This window comes from Homo sapiens, chromosome 17 (genome assembly GCF_000001405.40).
Source record: "Homo sapiens chromosome 17, GRCh38.p14 Primary Assembly".
NCBI lineage: Eukaryota > Metazoa > Chordata > Mammalia > Primates > Hominidae > Homo > Homo sapiens.
The window spans coordinates 41,824,302-41,848,488 of record NC_000017.11 but is presented as its reverse complement, the minus strand read 5'-3'; the positions used below and the strand labels follow the sequence as shown (position 1 = coordinate 41,848,488).

The window sequence follows — 24,187 nt, the reverse complement described above, 5'->3', positions numbered from 1 at the left end:
TTATTTATGCACTGTCGGATATAATTGCTTTCTTCCATCCCTCCTACTCCCTCATTCATCCAGCCATTGGCTCTCTTAAGTTGAACATTTTCCAGTACTCTTCAAAGTTTAAACACTGCATTTTTTTAAAAAAAGAATTAATTCTTATTGCTTAGACTTTTTATTAGCTAAATGAAGAGGCTCATACAGGTAGGGTACTTGTCGAAGCAGAATATTTTACTTCATCTCGCAGTGCTAATCCTGGGAAGTTGTCCCGTCTAGCTGCATATTCCTCAACATTGGCCAGCCCTGGTACTACACAGCAGCTCAGAGCACTGCGGTATATACTCATGTCATGAGCATCATACCACTCATCGGTCTTTTCATCATAGCACTCAACATTAAAGGTGGTGGTAAAACCATTAAAGCCACCCACCACAAACAAGAGGTCATCCACCACCTCGATGCCAAAATTGCTACGAGGATTAAACATAGTGGGGATTGTGCGCCAAGTGTTAGCCACAGGGCTGTAGGCTTCGGCACTCCTAAGTCGATTAGCTCCATCAAAGCCACCTACCTGTGGATAGCAAAAGAAACACGGTTGACTGCTAACCATTGATTCTGTTCACTGAGGAAGCCCTTGTTGGGGGTACCAGTGATCTCATAACTCCCTCTTCCATTATCTTCCATGAAAAAAAGCTTTTCAGCCGGGTGCAGTGGCTCACGCCTGTAATCCCAGCACTCTGGGAGGCCGAGGCGGGTGGATCACAAAGTCAGGAGATCGAGACCATCTGGGCTAACACAGTGAAACCCTGTCTCTACTAAAAATACAAAAAATTAGCTGGGCATGGTGGCGGGTGCCGGTAGTCCCAGCTGCTCGGGAGGCTGAGGCAGGAGAATGGCATGAACCCGGGAGGCAGAGCTTGCAGTGAGCCGAGATCCTGCCACTGCAGTACAGCCTGGGCAACAGAGCGAGACTCCATCTCAAAAAAAAAAAAAGCTTTTCAAATACTTACCAATAGTAGCATAAACCCATTTACTAATACAAAATCTAGGGGTAATGTGTTTTTTGTGTGTGTGTGGTACTAGATAAACTTACCGCATATACATGTTCTCCATAAGCAATCACGCCTATTCCACTCCTCCTGCTTCTCATGGGTGCTATGACTGTCCACTGATTACTTTCAGTGTTATACACTTCTGCTGTGAACAGGCACTCGTTTCCATTAAACCCACCACATATGTAGACCTGTGTGAAGAGTTCCAAGATTATTAAAATTCCCACTCTAGGGAGTAGAAAGAAAGGATATGTGTGTGGTGGTAGTGGGCACTTAATTCCAGTCTGTACAGTCTGAATTTCTTTTTTTTGTATGTGCATGCATTGCTTTTTATTTATTTTTTAGAGACAGAGTCTCGCTCTGTCACCCAGGCTGGAGTCCATTTGCACCATCTCTGCTCACTCCGCCTCCTGGGTTCTAACAATTCTCCTGCCTCAGCATCTGGAGTAGCTGGGACTACAGGCGCACACTGCCACGCTCCGCTAATTTTTTGTATTTTAGTAGAGACGAGGTTTCACCGTGTTGTCCAGGCTGGTCTCGAACTCCTGAGTTAAGGCAATCCGCCCCTCTCAGCCTCCCAAAGTGCTAGGATTACAGGCATGATACACTGTGCCCAGCCTATTTATTTTTATTTTTTGAGATGGAGTCTCACTCTGTTGCCTGGGCTGGAGTGCAGTGGAGCTATCCCGGCTCACTACAACCTCCACCTCCTGAGTAGCTGAAATTACAGGTGTGTGCCACTGTGCCTGGCTAATTTTTGTATTTTTAGTAGAGACCGGGTTTCACCATGTTGGCCAGGTTGGTCTCAAACTCCTGACCTCAAGTGATCCGCCCACCTTGGCCTCCCAAAGTGCTGAGATTACAAACACAAGACACTGGGCTCTGCCACATTACACATTACTTTTTTTTTTTTTTGGAGACGGAGTCTTGCTCTGTCATCAGGCTGGAGTGCAGTGGCGCAATCTTGGAGCACTGCAACCTCTGCCCACTGCAGCCTCCGCCTCCTAGGTTCAAGTGATTCTCCGCCTCAGCCTCCTGAGTAGCTGGGACTACAGGCGCCTGCCACCACACCCGGCTAATTTTTTGTATTTTTAGTAGAGACAGGGTTTCACCATGTTAGCCAGGATGGTCTCAATCTCCTGACCTTGTGATCCTCCCGCCTCGGCTTGCCAAAGTGCTGGGATTACAGGCGTGAGTCACCGAGCCCAGCCTGCATTACTTTTTTTTTCTTTTTTCTTTTGAGATGGAGTCTTGCACTGTCGCCCGGGCTGGAGTGAAATGGCGCCATCTTGGCTCACTGAAATCCTCTGCCTCCGGGGTTCAAGCGATTCTCCTGCCTCAGCCTCCCGAGTAGGTGGGATTACAGGCGCCCGCCACCAGGCCTGGCTAATTTTTTGTATTTTTAGTAGAGACAGGGTTTCACTATGTTGGCCAGGCTGGTCTTGAACTCCTGACCTAGTGATCTGCTTGCCTCGGCCTCCCAAAGTGCTGGGATTACGGGCTTGAGCCACCGTGCCCGGCTTTGCATTACTTTTCAATAAACAACATAAAAGACAGTTGCAACTAGTCACCTTGTCAATTGAAGAAAGAATGAGTACTCCAAAGTGAATACTGCCACTGCGTCTTCCATCCACCCCAAAAAAGAGCAGTATCATTTCTGGTCTTGTACTTTGCATCCACATCTTCCCCTCCCACCCTGGTCCTTTACCTTCCCATAAAGTGTTGTGGCGCTTGCATCACTCCTCTGTTCGTGCATGGGGGCGATGAGTGTCCATTGATTGGTCTCTGGCTCATAACGTTCAGCAGTGTTTAGACGCACGTAGCCATCAAATCCTCCCATGGCATAAATAAAATTGCCGAGGACTGTCACACTGACATAGCAACGTCTGGAGTGCATCGGGGCCACCTGATGCCAAGTTTTCTTGACTGGGTCAAAACGCTTAACACTATTGAAATAGTCTACACTATCAAACCCCCCAATGATATACACATAGCCTTTCAAATAGGCTGCCCCATGGTAGGCACGGGGACTCTCTTCCTCACAAGTAACATTCACCCATCTGTCTGCCCGAGCGTCATATGCCTCAATGGCATTGGTGGGGCTCCCACCACTCCAGCCACCAATTGCAAAGAGGATGGCATAGGGCAAGCGTGGTCTGGTGAGTGGGTTGGTGAAATCAGAATTAGAGGGTCCATTCATGTTGAGGTCATACATGGCCTTTAGGGCATTAATGATGACTGGTTTGCATTCCTCACTGTCTTTGACATAGTCATTCATCTTAACATTGTTCATGAAGTACTCAGCATGCATTAGGGCCAGGCGAACCTAAGAAGCAAACGCAGAAAGTCATTCAGGTGACGTGAGAGTGCCAGGAAATCCCACATCCTTAACTCCCATTTTTCGATCTGCCTTTGAATTGCTGGAAATATTTTGGTTTGTTTTTGAAATGTATAAGTCACAGTTTAAATAGTCGATTTTGAGGCTCACACCATAATCCCAGCACTTTGGGAGGCCAAAGCAGGTGGATCACTTGAGGCCAGGAGTTTGAGACCAGCCTGGCAACATAGCAAGACCCTGTCTCTACTAAAAATACAAAAATTGGGGCCAGGCGAGGTGGCTCACGGCCGTAATCCCAGCACTTTGGGAGGCCGAGATGGGCGGATCACCGGAGGTCAGGAGTTCTAGACCAGGCTAACCGACATGGCAAAACTCCATCTCTACTAAAAATACAAAAATTAGCTGAGTGTGGTGGCACGCACCTGTAATCCCAACTACTCAGGAAGCTGAGGCAAGAGAATCGCTTGAGCCAGGGAGGCAGAGGTTGCAGTGAGCCGAGATCACCCTACTGCACTCCAGCCTGGGCCACAGAGCAAGACTCCGTCTCAAAAAAAAAAAAAAAAAAAAAAAATACAAAAACCAGGCTGAGTGCAGTGGCTCACGCCTGCAATCCCAACATTTTGGGAGGCCGAGGTGGGCAGATCACTTGAGGTCAGGCATTTGACACCAGCCTGGTCAACGTGGTGAAACCCCCATCTCTACTAAAAATACAAAAATTAGCTGGGCGTGGTGGCAGGTGCCTATAATCCCAGCTACTCAGGAGGCTGAGGCAGGAGACTCGCTTGAACTGGGGAGGTGGAGGTTGCAGTGAGCCGAGATCGTGCTACCACACTCCAGCCTGGGCAACAGAGCTAGACTCCAACTCAAAAAAAAAGAAAAAAAAAAAATTAGCCAGGCATGGTGCCGCGTGCCTGTAGTCCCAGCTACTCTGGAGGCTAAGGTGTGAGAATTGCTTGAACCCAGGAGGTGGAGGTTGCAGTGAGCTGTGATCACACCACAGCACTCCAGCCTGGGTGACAGAGTGAGACTTGTCTCAAAATAAATAAATAGTTGTCAGCCGGGCGCTAGCTCACACCTGTAATCCCAGCACTTTGGGAGGCCGAGGCAGGCGGATCACGAGGTCAGGAGATCAAGACCATCCTGGCTAACACGGTGAAACCCCGTCTCTACTAAAAATACAAAAAGTTAGCTGGGCGTGGTGGCGGGTGCCTGTAGTCCCAGCTACTGGGGAGCCTGAGGCAGGAGAATGGCGTGAACCTGGGAGGCAGAGGTTGCAGTGAGCCGCGATCGCATCACTGCACTCCAGCCTGGGCAACAGTGAGACTCCTTCTCAAAATAAATAAATAAATAATAAATATTTATTTACTATTTATTTATGGGGAGGTGATATATACATTTGGAAGCTGAGAATGAGCTAGATAGAAGGCACCTCAAGTGGCCAGAGAGCAATCCCATTCCTTGGTTAGTGGTCAGTACTATTAGACCAAGAAAAACCATGGTAATTGTTCAGTAATTGAGTATGTCTTAATATGTAAAATAACGCTTATTAGCACCAACTGACAACAATTGTGTGCAATACTTAAGATTTTTTTTTTTTTTTTTGTTAATTTGAGACCAAGTCTCTCTCTGTCGCCCAGCTGGAGTGCAATGGTGCGATCTGGGCTCACTGCAGCCTCCGCCTCCTGAGTTCAAGTTATTCTCCTGCCTCAGATTCCCGAGTAGCTGGGATTACAGGCATGCACCACCATACCTAGCTAATTTTTGTATTTTCGGTAGAGAGTGTTCTGCTATGTTGGCCAGGCTGGTCTCGAACTCCTGACCTCAGGTGATCCACCTGCCTCCGCCTCCCAAAGTGCTAGGATTAAAGACATGAGCCACTGTGCCAGCCATGATTTCTAATTCAACTTCTACCTTGGGTATGGAGAAATTCATAGAAAGGAAAAAAGCTGAAAGGAATTTCAGCCCTTTAGAATTTTTTTTTTTTTTTTGAGACAGGGTCTCGCTGTATTGCCCAGGCTGGACTGCAGTGAGGTGATCACAGCACACTGCAGCCTTGACCTCCCAGGCTCAAGCAGTCCTCCCATTTCAGCCTTCCACCCAGTAGCTGGAACTGCAGGCATGCACCACCAAGCCTGGTTAATTTTTAAATTTTATAATTTTTTTTTCTTTTTTTTTTTGAGATGGAGTCTTGTTCTGTCACCCAGGCTTGAGTGCAGTGGCATGATCTCAGCTCACTGCAACCTCCGCCTCCTAGGTTCAAGCGATTCTCCTGCCTCAGCCTCTTGAGTAGCTTGGATTACAGGCACCCACCACCATGCCCAGCTAATTTTTGTATTTTAGCAGAGATGGGGTTTCACCATGTTGGCCAGGCTGGTCTCGAACTCCTGACCTCAGGTAATCCGCCCATCTTGGCCAAAGTGCTGGGATTACAGGCTTGAGCCACTGCACCTGGCCAAATTTTATACTTTTTAAATTTTATAACCTATGTTGCCCAGGCTGGCAAACTCTGGGCTCAAGTGATTCTCCACCTCGGCCTCCCAAAGTGAGCCACCACACCCCACCTAGAATTATTTTGAAGGCTCTCTTCTTCCCCCACCACCAGGAAGGATTTTGGTCAAAGAATATAACTTAGGTAAAAAGAACTAGTAATGCCAAGGGAAAAGACAGTTGCAAAATTCCAGAGAATAGTAGATGCCTTCTATCTAAGGACATGTAAATACAGCCTTGGGATCTGTCATATGTCTGAATTTTGCTTTTAGGACAATCTCTCTGTGATAAATGAATCAAGAGTGAACACTGACCTTAGGAAGCAAAATTGAAATGTGCTGCTTTCTATTTTGGGGGTCATGAGAAATCCACTTTAAAATGGCCTCAAATACAGCATCTTCCTGTTTGACATTGAGCTCATCTTTCTCAATGATATCCTTAAGTTCAGTGACCGAGAGCTCTAAAAATTCTGCCGAGACTTTCACCATCTCCTCAAAGTTGTGCAGTATGAACATGTAGGCCTTCTGCCTCAGCTCAGGACAGTAGTAGTAGTCCGTGAACTTACAGATGCCGATACAATTATCCAAGCACAGCTCTGACTTGAGGAACTCGCAGCAACCCCTGACGATACCCATGATGTTAAACTGGTCTGCAGCAGCAAGCAGTTTCTCCACATTGTCCGGTGTGATAGGCACGGTCCGGGTGTATGCATACTCAATGATTAGCTTCATCATGTCGGGAGAAATGCCAGGGATGTTGTATACCTTCTTTTCAGTGTTGTTCCAGCCACTTGTAAACAAAGCTCTGGAAAAAAGAAAGAAACTAGCAGCCACGGAAACATTTCTCTCCTGTTAGGTGAGTACATTGGAAATGGTCTGAGAAAGTGGGGTGCAGGCATGTGCTATATACAGTGGACAAGAAGAACACCTTTCCAAGAACTCTGACTTTGGTCACTCTTACCTTGTGGATGGAGAAATTAAGATCTAGAACTGAGAGTAAGACCCAGGTCTCTTGGGCCAGGCGTGGTGGCTCACGCCTATAATCTCAGCACTTTGGGAGGCCGAAGCGGGTGGATCATGAGGTCAGGAGTTCAAGACCAGCCTGGCCAACGTGGTGAAACCCCGTCTCTACTAAAAATACAAAAATTAGCTGGGCATGGTGGCACATGCCTGTAGTCCCAGCTACTTGGGAGGCTGAGGCAGGAGAATCGCTTAAACCTGGGAGGCGGAGGTTGCAGTGAGCCAAGATCATGACACTACACTCCAGCCTGGGGGACACAGCGAGACTCTGTCTGAAAAAATAAAAATAAAATGGCCACTCACTGCTTTTTATCTTCCTTTTCTTATTTTCCCAGGCATTTATGATGATTTGATATGCATTTTACTCATTTAATGCCTGTTTCCCCATCCAGGGGGTAAACTTCATGAGAACAGGAATGCTTCTCTTTTTATTAATTGTTTTCTTTTCTTTTTTTCTTTTTTTTTTTGGAAACAGGGTCTTGCTCTGTCACCCAGGGTAGAGTGCAATGGCATGATCTTGGCTCACTGCAACCTCCAACTCCAGAGTGCAAGCAATTTTCCTGCCTCAGCCTCTTGAGTAGCTGGGATTATAGGTGTGTGCCACCACGCTCAACTGATTTTTGTATTTTTTAGTAGAGATGCGATTTCACCATGTTGGCCAGGCTGGTTTCATCATATTGGTCAGGCTTGTCTCGCACTCCTGACCTCAGGTGATCTGCCTGCCTCGGCCTCCCAAAGTGCTGGGATTACACGGGTGAGCCACCATGCCCGGCTTTTGCTTCCTTTTTTTAAGAAGTTTAAGGAAATGTGGTCTTAGAAATCAAATTCTTCCTCTAGAGCAGGGGTCTGCAAACCTATGGACTCTGTCCAAATTTGGCCCACCTCTTGTTTTCATGCTGCCCACAAATTAAGAATGATTTTTACATTTTAAATGGCTGGAGGAAAAAATCTTTTTTTTTTTTTTGAGATGGAGTCTCGCTCTGTCACCCAGGCTGGAGTGCAGTGGCTTGATCTTGGCTCAGTGCAACCTCTGCCTCCCAGGTTCAAGCAATTCTCTGCCTCAGCCTCCCGAGTAGCTGGGATTATAGGTGCCCACCACCATGCCCGGCTTTTTGTATTTATGCCCGGTTTTTTGTATTTTTAGTAGAAATGGGATTTCACCATCTTGGCCAGGCTGGTCTTGAATTCCTGATCTCATGATCCACCCACCTCAGCCTCCCAAATTATTGGGATTCCAGGCGTGAGCCACTGCGCCCCGCTGGTTGGGGGAAAAAATCAAAAGAATATTCTGTGACACCTGAAAATTATAATACATTTAAATTTCAGTGTCCATAAATAATCTTATTGGAATACAGCCACACCCATTCATTTAGTATTGTCTAAGGCTGCTTTTGCAGTATAAAAACAGAGTAGTTGCAACAGACTGTGTGGCCTGCAAAAACCTAAAACAATTACTATTTGGTCTATTTCTGGACTCAGCTGAGCGCGTTGGCTCACGCCTGTAATCCCAGCACTCTGGGAGGCTGAGGCAGGCGGATCACCTGAAGTCAGGAGTTCAAGACCAGCCTGGCCAACATAGTGAAACCTGTAACCCCAGCTACTCGGGAGGCTGAGGCAGGAGAATTGCTTGAACTTGGGAGGCAGAGGTTGCAGTGAGCAGAGATCATGCCATTGCATTCCAGCCTGGGTGACAAGAACAAAACTCCATTTCAAAAAAAAAAAGAAAAATTAGCCAGATGTGGTGGCACACAGCTGTAATCCCAGATATTCGGGAGGCTGAGGCAGGAGAATCGCTTGAACCTGAGAGGTGGAGGTTGCAGTGAGCTGAGATTGTGCCACTGCACTCCAGCCTGGGTGACAGAGCAAGACTCCATCTCAAAAAAATAAAAATAAAAAATAAATTGTGGACTCTGCTCTGTGGTCTACCTGAATGAGAAGTTTTAGCAACAGGTAGGACACATTGATCATATCTTCATTGGAATTGATTACTCAAACATTTTCAGCTCATGAACAAAATAGCCCTTCTACCTCCTGGGTTACAATGGTTTTAGCCCAAACTCCCTTTTTCTTCTGATATTTCCTGGGTATTTCCCCCTCATCTCCCTTCCCATCCCCTTAATCCTTGTTAATTTATCACCCTGTTTGAAATGGTCTCTATTGGGATAGGGGTACAGGGGGGTCCCTGAAGTGGCATTGTCATCTGAAATCCAGTAGGGATGTCCAACCTTCCCAAAGGTTGGTTTGGGTGAGAATCAAAGATTAAAGCACCTGGCCCACCAATAGTTGGTTGAAATCCAGTTGAAAAATCAGACCTTAAAGGCTGGGTGCAGTGGCTCATGCCTGTAATCCCAGCACTTTGGGAGACCAAGGTGGGTGGATCACGAAGTCAGGTGTTCGAGACCAGACTGACCAACATGGTGAAACCCCGTCTCTACTAAAAACACAAAAATTAGCTGGGCATGGTGGCGGGAGCCTGTAATTCCAGCTACTCGGGAGGCTGAGACAGAAGAATCGCTTGAGCCTGGGAGGCAGCGGTTGCAGTGAGCCGAGATCACGCCACTGCATTCCAGCCTGGGGGACAAAGCGAGACTCCATCTTAAAAAAAGAAAAATTGTATCTTGCCAGGCGCGGTGGCTAATGCCTGTAATCCTAGCACTTTGGGAGGTCAAGACGGGCAGATCACCTGAGGTCAGGAGTTTGAGACCAGCCTGAGCGACATGGCAAAACCCTGTCTCTACTAAAAATACAAAAATTAGCCGGGCGTGGTGTCAGGCGCCTGTAATCCCAGCTACTTGAGAGGCTGAGGTGGGAGAATGGATTGAACTGGGGAGGCGGAGTTTGCAGTGAGCCGAGATGGCGCCATTGCACTCCAGCCTGGGTAACAGAATGAGACTCATCTCAAAAAAAAAAGACAAAAATCAGATCTCTCAAGAGCAAAAGGAAAAAAAAAAACAAAACAAACAAAAAAAAAAAAGAGAGAAAAAAGGCCCTGACCCTAGTCATGCCTCTTCAGAAGGCAAAGGAGCCAGGCAGGAGCTCCTGCCTGGACCAGAGTTGGCCAGGCACAGTGGTAATCCCAGCACTTTGGGAGACTGAGGCAGGAGGATCGCTTTGGGCCAGGAGTTCAAGACCAGCCTGGGCAACATAGCGAGACTCCCTCTCTACAGAACATTTCAAAAGTAGCCGGACGTAGCAGCATGTGCCTGTAGACCTAGCTACTTGGGAGGCTGGAGTAGGTGGATTGTTTGAGCCCAGCAGTTGAAGGCTGCAGTGAGCTATGATTGCATCACTACACTCCAGCCTGGGTGAAAGAATGAGAGCTTATCTCTAAAAAAAAAATTTTTTTTTAATTTTTAAGGAGCCCAGAGCTTTGACAGTGTCCCTAAAGTTAAGGTGATGGGGTGGGAAACAGAAAATGGATCAAAGTGTCTCAAAATGAGCCCAATTACCCCTTTGGCTGAATTTGGCAACCCTGTTATACCTAAAGTAGGAACTGCAGCTACAGAGGATGTTCTTATGGGCACTGAACTCAAAGCCATTGACCTTGATGACCACGTCGCAGAGCTTGCCCTCTAGTCTAAGCTCGTTGAAGATCTCACAGGCCATCGCACTCATCTTCCTCTCCATGTGAGGCTGGTGGAAACGTGTGGAGGCCGCCGCGCTCTCCATCTCCATGGCACCCTGGGACAGCGGAGAGAGGCTGCTTTCCTAGGGTGTCGGGGAGGGTTGTGGGGGGCCCCTTTAGCCAGCTGTCGCTCCTTTTCCCTACTACATCTTTTGTATAGGGTCTATCAGGCAACCCAAGTTCCAGAATCCTGGCCCTGCAGTGAGATCACACAGGATTGTGCTCTCAGGTTCTGGAACTGCCTCCTGGACTTGTCCTCTTCCTTCTCCCCTCCTTACCACCCCACTTAGGCTGAAAACCACCTCACACCTCCTTCTGTGTCCTTGAACCCAAAACAGAACCATGACCACTAGCACCATCTGAGTGTTTATTGATTCCAGCTCCTGTTACTCACCTGATACAGGTCTCTATCCCTGGAGCATTCATCTACCTTCCACAGCCCAACACTTGGCTCCCTAGACACCGAACTCAAGGAAATCCAAGTCAATTGAGGCTGAAGGGAGAAGTAAAACTGATTAAATTTCTTTCTTAGGCCGGGCGCAGTGGCTCACACCTGTAATCCCAGCACGAGGTGGATGGATCACAAGGTCAAGAGATCAAGGCCATCCTGGCCAACATGGTGAAACCTCGTCTCTACTAAAAATACAAAAATTAGCTGGGCGTGGTGGCACATGCCTGTAGTCCCAGCTACTTGGGAGGCTGAGGCAGGAGAATCGCTTCAACCCAGGAGATGGAGGTTGTAGTGAGCCGAGATCGCTCCACTGCACTCCAGCCTGGCGACAGAGTGAGACTCCATCTCAAAAAAAAAATCTTTCTTTTTCTAGGGACGGGTCTCGCTCTCTCACCCAGGCTGGAGTGCAGTGGTGTGATCATAACTCACTACAGCCTCGACCTCCTGGGCTTAAGTGATCCTCCCACCTCAGCCTCCTGAATAGCTGGGATTACAAGTGCTCCGCACCGTGCCCAGCCAACGCTGATTACATTTCAGAAAGCTGTCCCGGGTCTCCCAGCCCGCTGGATGGGTTAGTCACTCAGTTTCTTCTGGAATGAGGAATGGCCTAGTTAACAGAGCCCTTTCTGGGTGATTAACAGAATTCAGTTTATGGCTCCTTCATCTCTCCTCCCATCCAGCCGTGTGGTTTTTCTGTTTTTGTTTCTGAGACAGGGTGTCATCTGTCACCCAGGGTGGAGTGCAGTGGTATGATCTCGGCCTACTGGAGCCTGGATCTCCCGGGCTCAAGTGATCCTCGTGCCTCAGCCTCCCGAGTAGCTGGGACTACAACAGGTGCGTGTCACCATGCCCGGCTAATTTTTGTATTTTTTGTAGAGACAGGGTTTCGTCATATTGCCCAGGCTGGTCTCGAACTCTTCGGCTCAAGCGATCATCCTGCCTCGGCCTCCCAAAGTCCTGGGATTACAGGTATGGGCCACCGCGCCCAGCCCCAGTCATGTTTTTGTCACAAACTTTCAGCCTGGAAATGACCACGTTTGGCAAGGCTTTTCCTCCACAAAGAGTGGCAGAACCCTACCTACCCACGTAACCCCAACACCTTGGGACCTTCACCCTGCTCTTCATAATAAATAGAACCCTCCTCCAGTTTGCCTAGCGCAACCGGCAAGCCCACCCGGATCGCGGCCATCTCCGGGACCGCTCGATTCTCGGCCCCACCCCCGCCCCGCCCCCGGCCCCACCAACCCCCGCCCGGGCTCCAGGCGGGAGGCGACGCCTGCGCAGTGCGGTCGCGGGGCTGTCGTTGTCCCGCGAGCCGCCGACCAGGCCTCGAACGGGATGGCAGAGGAGGTGAGGAGGGAGGAAGCGTCCGGAGTGGGGCGGGCCCGGACTCCGACCCCCGGGGCGCTTCGAGCCCCCCAGCTGGTCACCGAGGCACCGCCGCTTCACCCAGGCCAGTAGCCGCCCCCTCGCGCACCCCGGCCCCGCCTCACACGCGCGCCCGAGCGAGCCCCGGGCTCCCCTCGGGCCCAGCGTGGCGCAGGGGTCAGTGGTTCTCTCGGGTCTCGGGACAGGTGAGCACCCTGATGAAGGCCACGGTCCTGATGCGGCAGCCTGGGCGGGTGCAGGAGATCGTGGGCGCCCTCCGCAAGGGCGGCGGAGACCGGTTACAGGTACCTCTGGGGCGTGCGGGGGCCGGCCGGGCTGGGGGCGGCTGGAGAGGCTTCCTGCCCATTGGGCCTTCCCGCTTTGCTCTGCCGCGGACCCCTCCTAGCTCTCTGCCCCAAGAAATGGCCGGGAGCTTGAAGGAGAGCGGGTTGGTTCGCCTGTCCTAAAACCCAAATTTCAGATTTCTCAATATGGTCATGCTGCTTCCTCTAATTGGACAGAAGGCGCCCACACCAGTACCTAGGGCCTTATCCTCCCCAAGCCAGCGGCTCCCCAGTAAGTTGAAGATGTCCAGATGGGCCGTAATGGTAGAGATCTCTTAGGAGGGACCTGATATTGAAGGAGTCAGAGGGGTCCTGAGTATTCACCCTTGCCCCCACACTAGGAGACTGCGTTTTCCTCAGGGTTAACGGGTACTAATTAGGATCACTTCCCCTCTATCCCTCTGTGTCACTCGGTAACTCCCCTAGGGCTTTGCCTACATCCTGGCCACTGAGCTGTATTGATTTCCATAATCATCCCCCAGGCTGAGGCAGGGCCACACTAGAATTCTGGTGCCTATTTAGGCATCATCTCTCTTTTGCCTTATAGGTGATTTCTGATTTTGACATGACCTTGAGCAGGTTTGCATATAATGGAAAGCGATGCCCTTCTTCTTACAGTAAGTCACATTCTAGCTTCCCTTGTTGAGCTTGACAAGACGATGGGTTCTAAGGGACAAGTAAAAGGAGTTTTCTCTTTTTCCAGATATTCTGGATAATAGCAAGATCATCAGTGAGGAGTGTCGGAAAGAGGTGGGTTGCTCCCGTCCTTTGCTCAGAAATGGTTGTCATTTGCTACTTCAAATGGTTCCTGATTGGAACCAAAGATTCCAGTATAGAGACCTTAGAAAATTAATTTTTAAAAACTTGTTGTTTTGCTAAGGAGGGTCTAGTTTTAATACATTAAGACAGCTTTTCCTTACTGGCCAGGACATATGATGATTAATGGTTGGAACTGGACATTATATTTACTGTTGGCTATAGAGTTTACAAGAGATTTGAACATTCTGGAGGTTCAGCAACTTACCCAGGGTCATACAGCCAAATGGCAGAGCTTGTTTGTTTGTTTGTTTTGAGACAGGGTCTCACTCTATCACCCAGGCTGGAGTGCAATGGCTTGATCTTTGTTCACTGCAGCCTTGACCTCCTAGGCTCAAGTGATCCTCCTGCCTCAGCCCTACTGAGTAGCTGGAACTACAAGCATGTAACATTACACCTAGCTAATTTTAAAAATTTTTTGTAGAGATGGGGTCTCACTATGTTGCCTAGGTTGGTCTTGAACTCCTGAGCTCAAGCAATCCTCCTTCCTCAGCCTCCCCAAAGTGCTGGGCTTATAGGCATGAGCTACCACACCTGGCCTTTTTAAAAGAAAATTTATATTCTTCTGTTGGGTTCTAGTGTGTGTGTGTGTGTGTGTGTGTGTGTGTGTATTTTTTTTTTTGAGACAGAGTCTTGCTCTATGGCCCAGGCTGGAGTGGCATAATCTCAGCTCACTGCAACCTCGGTTCAAGCAATTCTCATGCCTCAGCCTCTCGAGTAGCTGGGATTACCAGCATGCATCACCATGCCCGGCTAATTTTTGTATTTTTAGTAGAGACGAGGTTTCTCCATGTTGGTCAGGCTGATCTCGAACTCCCAACCTCAGGTGATCCGCCCGCCTTGGCCTCCCAAAGTGCTGAGATTACAGGCATGAGCCATCTTGCCCAGCCTGATTTTTAGAGAAAGGTTCTCACTCCAAAAAAACACACAGATTGAGAATCTTAATACATTTCAGAAGTTTTCTGCCTTTGTTACTATGTCATCTTTCATTTAATCTTCTTTTGAACAGATGGACAGGGATTCCATTTGATCTTGTAATGTTCCTGAGAATCATGCATGTATTAAAATTCTTTACTTGGTCAATTCTCATTTTTACTAGGCACTGTTACGGACTGGCTCTGTGTAACACATGATCCCTGGAACAGCCCCTTTAGAGTGTCAAAGTCTTGGCACATAGAAGGAAACCTTAGAGGAAACACACATAGATGCTGTGCATTCACATGATATTGACACTTTTGACGGAATTGTCCACCAACATGCTGTGTCCCAAAGTACAGTCTTCTAGTTATATTTCATTTTTTTTGCCATATCTGTATATCACCTTTACTAAATCTTTCTCTAAATTGGCCTGCTTTTAAAAATTGTAATTAACTTATAAAGAAACAGGCCGGGTGTGGTGGTTCACGCCTGTAATCCCAGCATTTCTGGGAGGCTGAGGCGGGCAGATCGGTTGAGGTCAGGAGATCGAGACCAGCCTGGACAACATGGCAAAACCCTGTCTCTACTAAAAATACAAAAAATTAGCTGGGCGTAGTGGTGCCTGCCTGTAATCCCAGCTACTCGGGAGGCTGAGGCAGAAGAATTGCTCGAACCCGGGAGGCGGAGGTTGCAGTGAGCCGAGATTGCGCCACTGCACTCCAGCCTGGGCAACAGAGTGAGACTTGTCTCAAAAAAAAAAAAAATTGTACATGAAAATGAATCCAAAACTTCTGAGTTGAAAAGCGCTTCTCCATGAATTCCCTAAAGTTTTCTTACCTATCACCTGAGAAAGTGGACCACATTCTGGGAAACACAGCATTAAGTAAGTTCTTACTGGTTAAGCCCTGAAAATTGAGCTAATTAATAACAGCAAAAAAATCTTAGTACCCTTCTTCTCTGATAGTAAAATCTCATATTGCTGACTTTTAGACCTCACTCTCAGGGTGAGTACAAAGGAATGACCAGCTCTGTGGATCCAGGTGCTCCCTGGACTTCACCAAATGGGTAAAAATGTGAGTGTATTGAGCGATTATGTTGGAAGATAATATGAGAAGAGAAACTTAGGTCTTATAAATGACATGTCCCCAAAGGAAAACTTGAAGAAAATTTCATGTAACACTCTCTTAGATGAAGTTGCATCTTCTTTTTATTTGAGACACAGTTTTACTCTGTGGCCCAGGCTGGAGTGCAGTGGTGTGATCTCGTCTTGGCTCACTGCAACCTCCGCCTCCTGGGTTCAAACGATTCTCATTTTTCAGCCTCCTGAGTAGCTGGGATTAAAGGCGCATGCCACTACACCGGCTAATTTTTGTATTTTTTAGTAGAGACAGGGTTTCGCCATGTTGGCCAGGCTGGACTCGAACTCCTGACCTCAAGTGATCCACCTGCCTCAGCCTCCTAAAGCACTGGGATTGCAGGTGTGAGCCACCGCCCCTGGCCATGAAGTTGCCTCTTCTAGGTGACTTTTTTCTCATACTAAGCTGTAGGACGTTGCTGGGAAGAACTTGATATGGACTAATGGCCTTTCTCCCCATTTGGATATCCCAGCTCACAGCGCTCCTTCACCACTATTACCCAATTGAGATCGACCCACACCGGACCGTCAAGGAGAAGCTACCTCATATGGTGGAATGGTGAGTGATGGTGGTGGAGAAAAGCTTCTGGGCCCTTGAGATGGAGTAGGCTGGGAGGGGCATATTTTTCCAGACCCTTGATGAGATGACAGGCTCCCTTACTTCACTGAGGGCTTAATTTAATACTATTAGTCCAGCTATTGGAACCAACTTTTCAGATGAACCCAGGGCTTTTTGTGGCTGCTGCTAGAGTGGAGACCCTCAGAGAATCCTTGGAATAAGTTAAAGACGCTTGGTGTTGGGGGATAAGTGCTTTGTGGAAGTGACTTTTAGTCTGTTTTGTGCTGCTGTCACAGAATAACAGACTAGGTGAATTATATATTTTTTCTATTTTTTGAGACAGAGTCTTGCTCTGTTGCCCAGGCTGGAGTCCAATGGCATGATCGTGGCTCCCTGCAGCCTCAACTGCCTGGGCTGAAGAGATTCTCCCACCTCAGCTTCCCAAGTAGCTGGTACTACGGGCACGTGCCACTGTGCCTGGCTCATTTTTTCTATTTTTTGTAGAGATGGGGTCTCACCATGTTACCCAGGCTATTTTCAACTCCTGAGCTCAAGCAATCCTCCCACTTCGGCCTCCCAAAGTCTTGGGGTTACAGGCATGAGCCACTGCACCCAGCCTAGACTGGGTAATTTATAATGAATAGCAATTTATTGGCACACAGTTCTGGAAGCAGGGAAGTCCAATATCAAAGGACTGGCTGGCATTTGGCGAGGGCCTTCTTGCTGCATTATCTCATTGTGGAAGGGCAAAGAGAGTAGGGGAGAGAGAAAGAGAAAGAGAGTTCTTTTTATAAGGGATCTGTGATAATGACATTAATCCATTCATGAGGATGGTGCCGCCATGACACCTCCCATTAGGCCCCATCTCTCAACACCTCCACACTGGGGATCAAGTTTCCAACACATTCAAACCACAGCAATCATCATCACTGGACAGAGCCCCAGTTCTCCAGATAGAGGGTTCACGGAGGAAGGGATTCAGAAGAGTGCCGACTTCAGCAGTCAGCTTGCCCAGCACTTGTCTCTGTTGGGTTGCTTTTCTCATCCTCTTCCTTTTTTTTTTTTTTTTTTTGAGATGGAGTCTCACTCTGTCACCCAGGCTGGAGTGCAGTGGCCCCGATCTTGGCTCACTGCAACCTCCCCCTCCTGGGTTCAAGTGATTCTCCAGCCTCAGCCTCCCAAGTAGCTGGGACTACAGGCGTGCACCACCATGCCCAGCTAATTTTTGTATTTTTAGCGGAGACAGGGTTTCACCATGCTGGCCAGGCTGGTCTCAAACTCCCGATCTCAGGTGATCCACCCGCCTTGACCTCCCAAAGTGCTGGGATTATAGGCATGAACCACTGTGCCCGGCCACCCTCTTCCTTTTAAGGGCAGCTAACGTAAGGATGAGGCCTCTGTCGGCAATGCTGTCAGAGGGTACTTGGCTCTGTAAAGGGAAAGGGTGAGTTATTTACTTCAGTGATTTGAATTTGGGGTTTTCTGGGGTGTCTGTTTCTAGGTGGACCAAAGCACACAATCTCCTATGTCAGCAGAAGATTCAGAAGTTTCAGATAGCCCAGGTGGTTAGAGAGTCCAATGCAATGCTCAGGTAAGCGTCTTGCTCTGGAAAACATTTCTATCAGACTATTTAGAATGTTTTGTTCAAAAAAAGGAGGCGGGGGAAGAGTAGAGAGCAGTTAGTTGCTTAAAGGACCGGAAGGGACATGGCACTATGAACAACTGATGTGATACAGCTAAAGCATTTCTTACCCTTGCTAGGAAACATTCAGCAGGTAGTGGATGTAGTACAAAATGGCCAGGGCACTATCTCTGAGAAGAAACCAAGTCTAGCTCTTCTTTCTTTCTCTCTCCTTCTCTTGTCTTCTCTTCTCTTCTCTTCTCAAGACAGAATCTCGCTCTGTCGCCAGGCTGGAGTGCAGTGGCGCAATCTCAGCTCACTGCAACCTCCACCTCCTGGGTTCAAGCGATTCTCCTGCCTCAGCCTCCCGAGTAAGCTGGGATTACAGGTGCCCGCCACCACACCCGGCTAATTTTTGTATTTTTAGTAGAGACAGGGTTTCACCATGTTGGCCAGATGGTCTCAATCTCTTGACCTTGTGATCCGCCCACCTCGGCCTTCCAAAGTGCTGGGATTACAGGCGCGAGCCACCGCGCCCGGCCAAGTCTAGCTCATTTTTCACAATGGTAAAAGACTTTTGGGGTCTGTCTGGTGACTGGTGTTCTTCATGGTGACTGGGAGTTGGCTAGGCTGGGACGCTTGATCGTTGGCGGCCTTCACTGAACAGCTGTCTCTGCTGGAGATTTCTTTTCTGGAGGAAAGAAATCCTCATAAAGGAAGGAGTGACATGGGTGCCTGCCCTCAAGGGTTGTGCATCCTAATTGGGGAGATTGGCTAGCTCCTGAAAAGTCAAGACAGTGGAGATGTGTGACCCAGTAAGTGCCGGGGTGGGAGTGTTTGTACCCTAGTGAAGGTGCCCAGGTTAGCTTCCTGGTTGTATGGACAGCAACAGAAAACATATGCCTACCTTCCACCACAACAGCATCTCTCCCAGGTATGTACCCCAGAGGAATGAGGGCATGTAGCCACTATAAGACATGCACAGGGTATTCATGGCAGCTGTATCCATAACAGCTGAAATCTGGAAATCTCTCAACTGTCTATCAAGGAGAAGCTGGGTAGATAAATTGTGGCATATTTATATGGTGGAATAATGCTGCATTGCAGTGACAAAGGATAAACTCATTACATGCAAAATATAGATAAACTACATAGGATTATATTGAACAAAATAAGCCAGGCACAAAAGAGTACATTGTGTATGAGTCTATTTATATGAAGTTCAAGGACAGGCAAAGCTAATCAATGGGAGGGATGATATTGACTGGGAGAGATCACGAGGGAGCCTCAAGCTAGTTAGTTACATGGGTGTATACATATGTCAAAATTAACTGAGCTGAGCACTTAGGATTAGCACACTTTAACCGCTTATTGAATATATCGTATGCTCTATTTTATTTATTTATTTTTTGAGATGGAGTCTTGTTCTCTTGCCCGGGCTGGAGTGCAGTGGCGCGATCTCGCCTCATGCCTGTAATCCCAGCACTTTGGGAGGCCAGGGTGGGTGGGTTGCTTGAGCATAGGAGTTCAAGACCAGCCTGGGCAACAGAGGAAAACCCCGTCTTTACAAAACATAAAAAAATTAGCCAGGTGTGGTGGCATGCACCTGTGGTCTCAGCTACTTGGGAGGTTGAGGCGGGTGGATCACTTGAACTCGGGAGGTCGAGGTCGCAGTGAACTGTGATTGTGCCACTGCCCTCCAGCCTGGGCAACAGAGCAAGACCCTGTCTCACAAAAAACCCAAAAAACAACCCAAATAGGAAACAAAGAACAGCAGTAGAGGCAGTGCCATTTCAGAATTCCTCCATCTCTTTTCAGGGAGGGATATAAGACCTTCTTCAACACACTCTACCATAACAACATTCCCCTTTTCATCTTTTCTGCGGGCATTGGTGATATCCTGGAAGAAATTATCCGACAGATGAAAGTGTTCCACCCCAACATCCACATCGTGTCTAACTACATGGATTTTAATGAAGATGTGAGCCAAATCCTGTTTGGGCTGGGAAAGGACGAGGGGTGGGGACCACCAGCCAGGGCAGTTAACTCTGCATGAACCCTAACCTGGGGAAGAAGGGGAGGGAAGCCACTCTAGCTTCTTCACCCTCAGGCAGTTGTTTATGGGTTACTTTTTGGCCAGGCGCGGTGGCTCAGACCTGTAATCCTAGCACTTTGGGAGGCCGAGGCGGGCGGATCACTTGAGGTCAGGAGTTCGAGACCAGCCTGGCCAACATGGTGAAAGTCCATCTGTACTAAAAATACAGAAATAAGCCGGGCGTGGTGGTGTGTGGCTGTAATCCCAGCTCCTTCGAGGCTGAGGCAGGAGAATTGCCTGAACCCAGGAGGCAGAGGTTGCAGTGAGCCAAGATCACACCACTGCACTCCATCCTGGGTGACAGAGTAAGACTCTGTCTTCAGAAAAAAACAAAAACAAAAAAACTTTCAAAGGATCCTCTCTCTTTGGTGTTTGCCTGACAGTCAACTCTCTGCCCTGGGGTACCTAATTTATGGGCCTGCCCTGCCCTATGTCACTGTCATATTATTATGTGCCATTCTGGGTCCTAAAGGGCTTGGGCTTTGATTTGTTTTTCCCAAGCCAGAGGTGGGCTGCTCCAACTCATCCACGTTCTGACTTTTTTCCCCATAAAACTGATGGTTGGAATTTTCATCATGTTGACCTGCAGTGAGGATGTGGCCCGCAGCTGAGCACTAGCACATGTGTAACCTGAGTGGCATTTATATCACAGCTTCGTGCATCCACCAGAACAGATGATCTGCAATATTGGGTGGCTCCTGTTCATTTAAACTAGGAGTTACAAACTTATGCTGTAAAAGGCCCTGTCGTCGATATTTAGGCTTTATGGGCTGTGGCATCACTGTTGCAACTGCCCAACTTTGCCTTTATAGCACAAAAAAGCAGCCATAGGCATCATGTAAACAAATGAGTTTGGCTGTATCCCAATACAACTTTATTTACAAAAGCAGGCCAAGTCTGGCCCATGGGCCGTAGTTTAGGCTACAGTGAAGTTTTGGCATTATCTATCACTTTTGGGATTCCCTTTTCTCTGTGACAGAGACAGTGGAGAGCTGGTGCCACATGGGTCCCTGCAGCCCTTCCATCTGTCTCTTGTCTTCATTATTTAGGGTTTTCTCCAGGGATTTAAGGGCCAGCTCATACACACATACAACAAGAACAGCTCTGCGTGTGAGAACTCTGGTTACTTCCAGCAACTTGAGGGCAAAACCAATGTCATCCTGCTGGGAGACTCTATCGGGGACCTCACCATGGCCGATGGGGTTCCTGGTGTGCAGAACATTCTCAAAATTGGCTTCCTGAATGACAAGGTGGGTAGAGGACCAGGGCTGCTTCTCTTCATGTCTTTCTTCTCTTTGAATGCCCATTAACAAATGCCTTTGAACACATTCTCTTTTTTTATTTCTATTTTTATTTTATTTTATTTTATTTTTTTTTGAGACGGGGTCTCACTCTGTCGCCCAGGCTGGAGTGCAGTGGCATGATCTCAGCTCATTGCAAGCTCCGCCTCCTGGGTTCACGGGAGCCTCTGGCTCCCAAGTAGCTGGGACTACAGGCACCCGCCACCACTCCCGGCTGATTTTTTGTATTTTTAGTAGAGACGGGGTTTCACCATGTTAGCCAGGATGGTCTCAATCTCCTGACCTCGTGATCCGCCTGCCTTGGCCTCCAAAAGTGCTGGGATTACAGGCATGAGCCACTGCACCCAGCTTTTTTTTCTTTTTTTTTTTTTTTTTGAGATAGAGTCTCACTCTGTTCCGCAGGCTACAGTGCAGTGGCGCCATCTTGGCTTACTGCAACTTCCACCTCCCAGGTTCAAGTGATTCTTCTGCCTCAGGCAGCTGAGTAGCTGGGACTACAGGCATGTGCCACCACACCTGGTTCATTTTGTATTTTTAGTAGAGACGGGGTTTCTCCACGTTGGTCACGCTGGTCTCGAACTCCCGACCTCAGGTGATCTGCCTGCCTCAGTCTCCCGAAGTGCTGGGATTATAGGCATGATCCACCACGCCCAGCCTAAATAAAATAAATAAAATTTATTTTATTTTATTTATTTATTTTGAGATGGAATCTCACTCTGTCCCCTAGTGGAGTGCAGTGGCACGATCTCGGCTCCCTGCAACCTCCATCTCCTGGGTGAGCTGAGATTGCGCCACTGCACTCCAGTCTGGGTGACAGAGCGAGGCTCCATCTCAAAAAAAAAAATGGGTCGTGGTCAGGTGCGGTGGCTCATGCCTGTAACCCCCCTATTTTGGGAGGCCAGGGCAGGGGGATCACTTGAGGCCAGGAGTTTAAGACCAGCCTGGGCAACATAGTGAGACCCTGTCTCAACAACAGCAACAACAATTAGCTGGGTGTGGTTAGCATGCCTGTAGTTCTAGTTACTCAGGAGGCTGAGGCAGGAAGATCACTTGAGTCCAGGAGGTTGAAGCTGCAGTGAGCCAAGATTATGCCACTGCACTTCAGCCTACGCAGCAGAGTGAGATCCTATCTCAAAAAAGAAAGAAAGAAAGAAAGAAAGAAATTCAGTCCAGATGGATTAGAGGCAACATCTGTTTTTTTTTTTTTTTTTTTTTTTTTGAGACAGGGCCTCACTCTGTCACCTAGGCTGGAGTGTCATGGCTCAGTCTTGGCTCACTGTAGCCTTAATTTCCTGGGCTCAAGTGATCCTTTCTGCCTCAGTCTCCCGAGTAGCTGGGACTACAGGCACCCACCCCCATGCCCGGCCAATTTTTGTAGAGATGGGCTTTTGCCATGTTGCCTGGGCTGGTCTCAAACTCTTGGGCTCAGATGATCCTTCTGCCTCAGCCTCCCAAAGTGGCAACATCTGGTTTTTTGTTTTTATTCCTTGTTACTGTTCTTTTGTATTGACCCAAGGGTTAATTGTGGTAGCCCATGCCCATCCCTCGTCTGTCTCCAAAGGGTAGGCCCGGTAACCTTGAACTCCTTTGGCTCTCAAAAGGGAGCTGGGAGTTGCTGCTTGAATGCTCTCCTCCCCAGCCCCAGGGGCTTTGAGAGTGAGCTACGGAGGGCAGGGCATTTGGGGACCCTCTGGCTTCTGCCTCTCATTCCGGGCAGGTGGAGGAGCGGCGGGAGCGCTACATGGACTCCTATGACATCGTGCTGGAGAAGGACGAGACTCTGGATGTGGTCAACGGGCTACTGCAGCACATCCTGTGCCAGGGGGTCCAGCTGGAGATGCAAGGCCCCTGAAGGCGCAGGCTCCAGCCCGGCCTGCAGGCCGTGGTGAGGAGGGGCGCCTCCCCAGAGTCTGCTCCCCCGTGAACACAGAGCAGAGGCCAGGGTGGCCAGCAGTGGCTGGGTCCTTCCGCGCCCCTCCGTCCTCCTTTCCCTGAGCACCTTCATCACCAGAGGCTTGAAGGAACCCCGCCATGTGGCAGGGCACAGGCACTGTTCCTGGTGAACCTTGGACCACAGCATGTCAGTGCTCTAGGGATTGTCTACTCCAGGGATTTTCTTCAAAATTTTTAAACATGGGAAGTTCAAACAAATATAATGTGTGAAACAGATCAAAATTTTTAAAATGAAAAAAAAGCTGCTCTGATTCAGGGGATGTGGGTGGGGGTAGAACCTGGACCTCTTGGCCCTGGGGGCACATGGGATGCTTCTAGGAACACAGTTTGAGAACCACCACAAATTGGCCTGAGACCCCATCCGAGCACAGCCTGATTGTGTCTGTCTGGTTCAGCGTGGGGCTGAAAGGGTATGTTCTAGCCTATAGTGGTTTGACTTTATTCTGATTCAGCCATCAAACTTGAAATTCATTTGGGATCGGTGGGGTTGAGGCAACCCTGTCTGAGAGCCCCCTCTTTAGGGATCCCTGAGGGGATGCATTCGTGTGTGGCTGTCCCCCTATGCCCTAGGCTCTCCTTTCCCCTCCTCTTATGGGTCGGGGCCACTAAAGTGGATGACCTGAAAAGGGGAATTTAGAGCAGGGACCTGAGGGAGACTGTGCCAAGGTGAAACAAGTGATGTGTGCACTGTGGTCTTGCGTTATTGGGCCGACCCTGAAGAGCCAGTTCAGCATTTTCTTAGCCTTAGAGGAAATCACCAGCACCCTTCCTGCAGTGTTCGGCTAGCCGTTGGAAAGTTCTGTTATTCTGCAGATGTGAAGCGGGAGGTAATACAGATGTTACTGAAGGCCTGCGGTGTCCCAGGTGCCACTCTGGGCACTTGGGTGCCTGCCAGTTGACCCTCACAATGACCCCACAAGTAGGTGCAGCTCCTCCTGCTTCCAGATGGCTCAGGCAGGATGGGTAACTTGCCCAAACTCCATAGCTAGGAGCTGGAGCCAGGATTTGAATGTTTCTGACCAAAGCCCATGCGTTTTGCTGCATTTCTCTGCTTCAGGCCTGTTCCATTCGTTTTTGGGAGGAGGGAGTGGCCACCATCTGAGGCTGGGTTAGTAACCAC

The 24,187-nt window shown here is 48.6% G+C and overlaps 2 protein-coding genes across 9 annotated transcripts, besides 3 other annotated features; one reads left to right on the top strand and one right to left on the bottom strand.

Moving 5' to 3' along the window:
- KLHL10 (kelch like family member 10) lies at positions 105 to 12,804 on the bottom strand. Of its 4 annotated transcripts, NM_001329595.1 has the most exons (7): positions 12,635 to 12,804; positions 10,901 to 10,999; positions 10,363 to 10,562; positions 6,177 to 6,666; positions 2,746 to 3,363; positions 1,079 to 1,228; positions 121 to 556 (listed from the first exon to the last, which is right to left on the bottom strand). In NM_001329595.1, exons 3-7 carry the CDS (start codon positions 10,554 to 10,556, stop codon positions 182 to 184), a joined length of 1,827 nt encoding a protein of 608 aa, NP_001316524.1. In that variant the 5' UTR covers positions 10,557 to 10,562; positions 10,901 to 10,999; positions 12,635 to 12,804; the 3' UTR covers positions 121 to 181. The 4 variants fall into 4 exon arrangements, with proteins under 4 accessions (XP_047291853.1, NP_689680.2, NP_001316525.1 ...); XM_047435897.1 differs by lacking the exon at positions 12,635 to 12,804 and having other exon boundaries at positions 105 to 556; positions 10,901 to 11,010; NM_152467.5 differs by lacking the exons at positions 10,901 to 10,999; positions 12,635 to 12,804 and having other exon boundaries at positions 105 to 556; positions 10,363 to 10,664.
- Positions 11,654 to 11,733: an enhancer, noted in NCBI's record as "active region_12174". NCBI's record gives its function as "activates an Ori minimal core promoter by ATAC-STARR-seq in GM12878 lymphoblastoid cells {active_cell/tissue: GM12878}" and the evidence as "EXISTENCE:reporter gene assay evidence [ECO:0000049][PMID:35858748]".
- Positions 12,154 to 12,533: a silencer, noted in NCBI's record as "silent region_8502". NCBI's record gives its function as "represses an Ori minimal core promoter by ATAC-STARR-seq in GM12878 lymphoblastoid cells {active_cell/tissue: GM12878}" and the evidence as "EXISTENCE:reporter gene assay evidence [ECO:0000049][PMID:35858748]".
- NT5C3B (5'-nucleotidase, cytosolic IIIB) lies at positions 12,257 to 23,432 on the top strand. 5 transcript variants are annotated; one of them, NR_033464.2, is made up of 9 exons: positions 12,257 to 12,410; positions 12,532 to 12,630; positions 13,217 to 13,286; positions 13,373 to 13,419; positions 16,012 to 16,097; positions 17,599 to 17,688; positions 19,537 to 19,699; positions 20,863 to 21,063; positions 22,832 to 23,432. NR_033464.2 is itself a non-coding variant. In NM_052935.5 (9 exons), the coding sequence occupies exons 1-9, from the start codon at positions 12,296 to 12,298 to the stop codon at positions 22,964 to 22,966; spliced, it is 903 nt and encodes a 300-aa protein (NP_443167.4). In that variant the 5' UTR covers positions 12,257 to 12,295; the 3' UTR covers positions 22,967 to 23,432. The 5 variants fall into 5 exon arrangements, 3 of the variants coding, with proteins under 3 accessions (NP_443167.4, XP_047291254.1, XP_011522578.1); NM_052935.5 differs by having other exon boundaries at positions 12,257 to 12,307; XM_047435298.1 differs by adding an exon at positions 12,807 to 12,901 and having other exon boundaries at positions 12,257 to 12,630.
- Positions 12,664 to 12,773: a silencer, noted in NCBI's record as "silent region_8501". NCBI's record gives its function as "represses an Ori minimal core promoter by ATAC-STARR-seq in GM12878 lymphoblastoid cells {active_cell/tissue: GM12878}" and the evidence as "EXISTENCE:reporter gene assay evidence [ECO:0000049][PMID:35858748]".

What these genes read in the sequence shown, in the direction of transcription:
- KLHL10 (NM_001329595.1), bottom strand. Translation starts at nt 10,556, where the DNA reads ATGGAGATGGAGAGCGCGGCGGCCTCCACACGTTTCCACCAGCCTCAC. An exon ending in AGCTGCAGTTCCTACTTTAG is followed by an intron (nt 6,667 to 10,362) that starts GTATAACAGGGT and finishes TCTTTTTTCCAG; the next exon opens with AGCTTTGTTTACAAGTGGCT. An exon ending in CCACAACACTTTATGGGAAG is followed by an intron (nt 1,229 to 2,745) that starts GTAAAGGACCAG and finishes CTCTTCACACAG; the next exon opens with GTCTACATATGTGGTGGGTT.
- NT5C3B (NM_052935.5), top strand. An exon ending in GCGATGCCCTTCTTCTTACA is followed by an intron (nt 13,287 to 13,372) that starts GTAAGTCACATT and finishes CTCTTTTTCCAG; the next exon opens with ATATTCTGGATAATAGCAAG. An exon ending in GTGAGGAGTGTCGGAAAGAG is followed by an intron (nt 13,420 to 16,011) that starts GTGGGTTGCTCC and finishes TGGATATCCCAG; the next exon opens with CTCACAGCGCTCCTTCACCA.